Below are 7,941 nucleotides of genomic sequence, written 5' to 3'. Positions count from 1 at the left end.
GGTCCGCGGCTTCATTCTTGAAGTCAGTGAGACCAAGAACCCACTAATTCCGGACACACTCCCTTTGATGGGCTAACTGGGCAACAAAAATATAACTTTATGAGCTTTGACCAAGGTTCCCTGGAATAGACTATTTTAATAATAATGATAAAACTAATAGTAATAACACTAATTGCATCCTTCATGAATCCTCTTAACACAAACCTATGCAGTAGGCACTGTTGTCAGCCCCATTTCACAGTGGAGAAAACTGAGTCAAAGTGGTAATAAGTGGACAGGGGCCCAGGCTTGACTCCCTCCTGCTATAAATTCGATTTCTTCGATTAAGGTGAAACTTCTCCAATTTCATGAGTTTCAGAATCGTAACAAAGAGGCTGGAACATGAGCCCTCACTGTGAATGTACAGATCAAATGTCTACCTCACCCACTAACGAGAACCCATTGTCATAGCAACAGATGTATGAGATATTTCAGCTCAAGCACAGGGAAGCAACATTCTCAAACAATTCACAAGAGATCCTGGCTCCGTTCGTAATTACAGATTTCACTTGAAATTTTTTTAAAAAAATTATAAGTTGTTTCATCTTTTAAAGCAAACAGAAACCCTGAGAAGGAGAGAGAAGATTCATGAGATAAGTAAAACACAAAATTATTTGATGTAAGAGATTCAGAGTAAGAGGAAATTTCATAACATGTGGGGCCATTTTCCTAATATGGAAACTTTTCATATTATATCTTTTTACTGCCTAATGCTAAATTCTACCTGGCTTCCAGTCCTATAGTATTGAATGCCAAGTATCCTGTGAGAAACAAGAGTTCTGCTTTCATTTAATTTGCTTTAGGTGAACTCATTTTGCCTGCTGAATCCATAAGCCAGTGGTAAAAAAAAAAAATGTATTGCCCTGAGTGGCAGATGAGGGTAGTATGATCACATAGGACATACTTGTAGTAAAATAGTCACTGTTTATCTGAAATTCATATTTAATTTGTGATCCTCTATTTTTAAATGCTGAGTCTGGAAACCCTATTTGGAGACAGACTGAACAGGGTTCAACTTCCAGCTCCACCATCTACTGACTGTGTTAAGGTCAGTTATTTTGAACATGTGTGAACATGTCCAGTTATTTAACATGGCATTTCCTTATCTGTAAAACAAGGTTAATGCCTGCACCTATCTCATAAGGTTGTGTTGAGAATTTCATTTTAAAAATACCTGGTATGTGCCTGGAACATTATAAGCACTCTATAGATGTTTATCGTTAGTACTACTACTGGTGTTATCAGCCATCCTATTATCAGAACCACTAAATATAAATGATCACTGCCACATTTCCTAAATATAATAAAGAAAGTCATCTTTCCAGAAACCTAAATGATGTGACAAGTTAATGACATTTAACTAATAATAAATAGTAATGAACTAAATTTGGCTTAATAGACATTTATTAATTCCCTCATATATACGAGGCACAGAGCTAAGCACTAGAAGTGCAAAATTCATAAGCTGTCAGAGTTAAAAGGAAATGCAAAAGATGATCTTATTCGATGCCCCTCACTTTACAGATGAGGAAACCAGTCAGTGTGGGAGGCAGTGAGTCCTTTACCCAGCATCACAAGGTAAAATGGTGGTAAAACCAGGACTGGAAGCCAATCCCCCTGACTCTGAATCTAGGATGCCTTTTACTCATCTTTCCTGTTTTCTTGTGCAAAGACAGAGCCCTTACTCTCTGGGAACTAACACTCTAGTAGAAAAATACCAAACAGATGTAACCACTGGTTTTTACCATTTTGCTGTGAGTTAACTAAGTAGAGTCAATGTCCCCTAACAATTTGATCCTCACAAAAGTTTAATAAATTAGCATAAGAAAAAAAAACAATAATTGTTATTGTCATTAATCTTAGGAAAACTGCTGTCCCAAGATGTCAATTGACTGTCATAATGTTGTAAGGTGGGCATGAGACAACATTTAAAGTAGATGCCAGATTATCCATTGCAGCTGGCTGCCTCCGCCCATAAAAATGAATTGAAACACACTGTGAAGCGAAATGAAGCCAAGCAGGTGTCTTTAATGAAGATATCTTTACACAAAACTGCATGGGAATTGGAATGGGCTTGCAGACCAAGCACAGGGAAGCAATCAACAAGGTTAGCCAAAACTCAGAAAAACTCCGTCACAAAAGCCAATAAACTGCTTGCCCAGATCACCAGGAAGGAAACCCTGATTGAAACCAAAGACCAGAAGAACAGACCAACCAGAGATTTTAGAATCACAAATTTCAGACACACGGGCCAAAGATGTGTCTGAGGATGCTGAGTAAACCAGGGGTCCCAGTTGGGCTTAAATCCAGGTCTTTTGAAACCTAGTTTGCTTTCCACAGAACCACAATGGCTCTTGTTTTTTTGTTTTGTTTTTTGTTTTTTACTCTGTAAAATGAGAGAAGAGGGCAGCTATTGTACCAGCTTATCTCTGAGGTCCTTTCCACCAATAGCATCCTATGATTTCATTCTCATCTGTTCTATTCTATTCTATCCTGGCCTAGTTTCTTCCCATATTCAATCTGATTAATTCCTGCCATTTTTAAAATTATCTTTACCATTTAACTATTTTTAGGTATACAATCCAGTGGCATTGAGTACATCCACAATGTTGTGGAACTATCACCAATATCATCCCAAACAAAAACTTTGTATACATTAAACAATAACATTCTATTCTCCCTTTCTCCCAGAACCTTGTAACCATGATCCTTTTTTCTATTTATAAATTTTATTTTTCTAGGTATTTCATATAAATGGAACTATACAATTCTGTCTCTTTTGTGACTTAGCATAGTGTTTTCAAGTGTCATCCATGTTGTAGTATGTGTTAGAATTTCATTCCTTTCTAAGGGAACGATGTTCCATTGTATGTGCATATCACCACATTTTGTTTATCCATCCATCCACCGATGGACATCTGAGTTGTTTCCATTTTTGCCTATTGTGAATAATGCTGCTAGGAATATGATTGTGCATGTATCTTCTTTAGTCCCTGCTTTCAATTCTTTTGCATATACACCCGGAAGTGGAATTGCTGGACCATACAGTAATTTTTGGTTTAACTTTTTAAGAAATTGCTAGCTGCATATTTTTAACCCAATTTCAGCAATGAGACTTTACCTGTGAAAGCCCAAGAATGATGCTAATGCTCATTATTCATAGGTTTGTAAAATAATTACTGAGTTCAGCTACATGCTAGGACTGTGTCAGGTACTGGGACTCCAGTGATGAGCAAACCCAGACACAATCCCTGATCACATGGAGCTCTCAGTTTGTTAGGAAACCAAGCATTAAACAAACATATGCACCATGAGGTAATCAGAGTAGCATAAGGGCTCTAAAGACACAGTATGAAATATTTTATCTTAAGAAGTTAGGGAAAGGCTGCTAGAAAATGATGTTTAAGCTGAGATCTGGAAAATAACCAAAAGCAGTTGTCAGAAAACTGCAGCCAACAGGCAAATCCAGCCTTGTTTTTATAAATAAAGTTTTATTGGAACACAACCATACCCATTTGCTTATATATTATTTATGAATACTTTCATGATATAATACCAGGGTTGGGTAGTTGTGACAGACACCATATAGCTCAAAATACCTAAAATAGTTACCTAGTCCTTGGCAGGAAGTTTGTCAAATGCTGACCAAAAGTCAGTGAAGAGGGAATGAACAGGTAGATAGTATAACTGAAGAGGAGACAGTATGTGTGTGGGCCTGAGAAGGAAGAGCACAGCATAGTCAAAGAACTTGGAGTGGCTGTATTAGTTCACTTAGAAGGGAATGGAATTCTGACACATACTACAACATGGATGAAACTTGAAAACACTATGCTAAGTGAAATAAGCCAGGCACAAAAACACAAGTATCATAACGAGTTATCACTAAGTTGGTGATTTAAAACAACAGACATTTATCATCTTATAGTTCTAGGGGCTAGAAGCCTGAAATACGGATGTGAGTGGGTTGTTGCCTTCTGAAGGCGCTAAGGGGGAATCCATTCTGTCTCTTTCCTAGCTTCTGGTGACTTCTGGCAAGCCTTGACTGATTGCACTAATTGCTGCCTCCATCTTCACATGGTCTTCCCCTCTGCGTGTCTCCGTGTCCTCTCATTTTCTGTCTCCTATGAGGACACTTGTCACTGGATTTAGGGCCCCACTCTAATTCAGGATGATCTCATCTCATTGTGGGATCCTTACACTAACGACACTTATAAAGACTCTTAGTCCAAGTAGGTTCGCGTTCTGAGGATCCATGTGGACTTCTATTTTGTGGCTCCATGATTCAGCCCACCACAGTAGTCAGAGAACTCATGAAGGACAATGCAATGGAGAAGAGGATTAGAGATGAAGACTGTCAGGAGGTGAGCCTAGAGAGTTGAGAGAGACCAACTCTTATGGACTCTTAAAGGACACACCATTGAACAGAGGATTCCTTTACACCTGCAGTGACCCAAGAATATTGTCATGCAATTTAACATGTACTTTTTAAAAAGTAGATGAAAAAGATGGTGTTTTAATTGATAAGCTCAAAGGACCCCAGAATTACTTTTCCAATCATTATTTCTTCCAAATGGAGGCCCCCCAAAGTGTCAGATTAGTAAGCAGCAGAAAACGCTTGACAGAAAAATTAATATTTGGGCATGATGCTTAGATTAAAAACATCAAGATTTTTGAAATGTAATGTGAGTACTGTGGATACTACTTTTTTCTAATAATTCACATTGTCTTTTTTTAAAAGATTCATTTGTCAAAAACTAAATCATTTAGACAACTATTCTCAAGCTTATACTCCTTCTTCTCCAGGATTGAGGTTACGTAAACTCTGCCCATTTCATTCGTGATGGCCAAGGCTGACTTTTGAAGACAGATCTTTAAGCAGTTTCCATCCAATGCTCAGAGCATAACATCAGGTCTCAGCTATTGCCGATTCAGCCTGACCTTGTTCCCTGGTTGGGGAATTAAATGACTCCATTCACTTCCCAGACCCTGTCTGTTCCTTGCAATACAGTGCTAGTGGCAGGAATCCTGCTTTCCTCCCAGGGACTGAGGTTCTGAGTTAATAATTTCCATTATATGCCACTCCCCCAATATTATAGTCATCCTTTACTCTTATCAGTAACCCATTTAGGGATGCTCCTAACTTCAGACTTCTTGCCGGGAAGCTGTTACCATCTGATAAACTTCCGTAGTGAGTACACGAGATCAGACATGCAAGAAATGTAACTACATTTTTTTCTTGAATTGAATTGAATTTCTATTCTGAGCTTTCCTTCTTTGTGATAAAAGCTGAACTCATTCAATTTAGAATGTCCCCATCCCTCTTCTTTTCCAGGGTTGCATAGGGCTGTGACATAAGTGGGGAGGAACTGATAAGGGACACTATCATCTGTCCACATTGGCATCTTCTAAGATAACTTCATTCTAATCCAGTCTCCATAAGATCTCTGTTGTATCCTCTTCTGCCCAATCCCAGGGATGCTGAAGATCTGGCTCTGCTAAATGGCCACACCTTGGAGTGAGAAGGCCACACCTCTGCCACTCTGAGGGCTGGGAAGGTTGGTGGTCCTACCCAGATGCTCCATATAGTCATTTCTGGACTATTATTCCTGCAGCATTCCAGGTGCAAGGGAAGGCTGGGATCTTAACTACTGTCTAGGGTTTATCCAGAGGTGGGAGAAGCAGATTCTTCTTCTCAGTTTCCTTATGTCCTTCTGGGGTTGCCCTCTCTACCTCCAGCCCCAAACTCAGAAGAAGGGAAAAGAATATGAGACTCCTTCTCTGGAACCCACTCTGGACCAAGTCTCTTTTCCCCACTCTGATTTTCCCTCCCTCTCTTGCTACAGTGTTTTATCTAGTCTCAGGGACAGAGAAACTGGACATGACTACCTATATTTTTCCAAGTATTTTTAGTTTATACTTGAAGCTTGACTTTCAAAACTCCAAAGCAAGAAAGTTTATTCTTTTATTTTGTGTTAGTATTGCCCCATCCTCCTCCTTGAGGGTAGGAGTTATAGAATATATATCTAACTGTTCTATAAATGGAAGAAAGGCAAAGAGATAAAAGGGAGTGAAAGAGAGAAACAGATTAATATATCAAAGTAGTATCCCACTATGCTTTCCTTATGCCAACTGCCTGTGGGCTACATCTGAATTCATCATTTCTACATCCTGCTAGTCTGGTGGAGTCCCACATTAATTGATAGTAGTTCTTCTAGTACCTGGGCTTCCAGTACTTGTACTCTACGACAAACGGAATCCAGTCTGCTGTAATGCACTTGCTCCATCATCCATTCATGCATTCATTCACTCTCTACTTTGATTCGTATATGTTGAGCCTTACTAATAATGTCAGACCCTGTGCCTGGCATTAGGACACAGAGATGATCCTGAACACTAGCATCTTTTTGTGGACAGGACTACTCCATTTTGGCATTATTGGCATTTTGGACTGGATAATTGTTGTGGGGGCTGTACTATGTGTTACACTATGCTTAGCAGCATTCCTGGCTCTACGTACTAGATGCCAGTAGCATCCCCCAATGATTATAAAAAATGTCTGGACATTACCAAATGTCCCTTGGAGAGCAAACTCATCCCTGATTGAGAATCACCATTCTAGCAGAGGACACAGGCACATAAATAGACCATTATAACACAGCGAGGTCAGTGCATGGATAGAAACACACTAGTTAATGTGGAATGCTAATTAAGTCATTTAACCCACTCTAGGTGAGGGTGGGTAGGGTGAGATAAGACAGTGATGCCTGAACAAACAATGCTTACATAATGCTCTGAACCACAACTCATATTGCTGTTCCACATTTCTGCTCTACCATTCACCATTTGTTTATTCATTCAATAAATATTTCTGAGAACTGACGCTAGGAGCTAGACATTGAATGTACAAAAAATAGTAAGACAGAGCTCCTGCTTGCACAGAAGCCATGTGTAATTACAATTAAGACCATGGGCTCCAGAGGCAGACTGCCTGGTTTCCAATTCCGATCCAAACCTACTACTTGTAAGCTCTGTGACACTGGGCAACTTACTTAACCTCTCTGATCTAAAATTTCTAATTCTGTAAAACAGCAATAATAATAACAACTACCTCTTGGAGTTAATCAGATTAAAAGAGATAATTCTTATAAATCTCTTAGCATCTGGCCTAGTGAATGGAAAGCACAGAATAAATGGTAGTTTTTATCAGTGATTGTCCAAGTTCTATATTATAATGAGAAGGTCTTGTTCTAAGCCAGGGCCTCTCATCAGTGCCACTGCAGTTAATTGGACTATATCTAGTCGTATCCTGAGATGTGACAAGCAGAGACTCAGTATCTTGTCATCATTGGATTTCCATTAAAATACCATTAAGATTAAAAGTACTAAAAAAATCTTAATTAGGGCATTAATTTTCACAGTAATAAATTAAAATTTTCAGGTCAGCTACAATAACCATAATAAACCCCAAAAAAGAGAGAAAGAAAGAAAAATTCTGGAAACCAAACCACACAGTCTCAAATTTTAGCCTCATTTCTCAGTTGATATTTTCAGTCAAAAAATGTTTTTCTTCCATTTTAATACAAAAATGTTAGTTTGAAGACTCTATTTTCTCCCAGACTTTGTGCAATTTTTGGCTCATGTTTGAGCATAACAATTACTCAGCAAAGAGAAGCTTGGGGATGGTTTAATAACAGCCTTCAAATATATGAAAAGTTATTACACGGAACATGATGACCAGCTGTTCCCTACTTTCACAGAGGACTAAGAAAAATGAATAGGCTGAAAATTACAGGGGCTGACAATTTGAGGTAGACTCACTGAAGAACTTTGCAGAGTATAAAGTCAGTGTAGAAAACCTAAAAAAGAAAAGAGTTTGGAAAATATAGTACAGCAAAAAGAATA

General features: G+C 38.6%; 1 annotated feature.

Moving 5' to 3' along the window:
* Nucleotides 472-1,671: an enhancer, noted in NCBI's record as "MED14-independent group 3 enhancer chr5:154963756-154964955 (GRCh37/hg19 assembly coordinates)". NCBI's record gives its function as "activates an origin of replication core promoter dependent on BRD2, BRD4, P300/CBP and CDK7 cofactors, and independent of MED14, by STARR-seq in HCT116 cells {active_cell/tissue: HCT116}" and the evidence as "EXISTENCE:reporter gene assay evidence [ECO:0000049][PMID:35650434]".

This window comes from Homo sapiens, chromosome 5 (genome assembly GCF_000001405.40).
Source record: "Homo sapiens chromosome 5, GRCh38.p14 Primary Assembly".
In the NCBI taxonomy this organism is placed as follows: Eukaryota; Metazoa; Chordata; class Mammalia; order Primates; family Hominidae; genus Homo; species Homo sapiens.
This window is presented reverse-complemented; position numbering and strand designations above follow the sequence as displayed.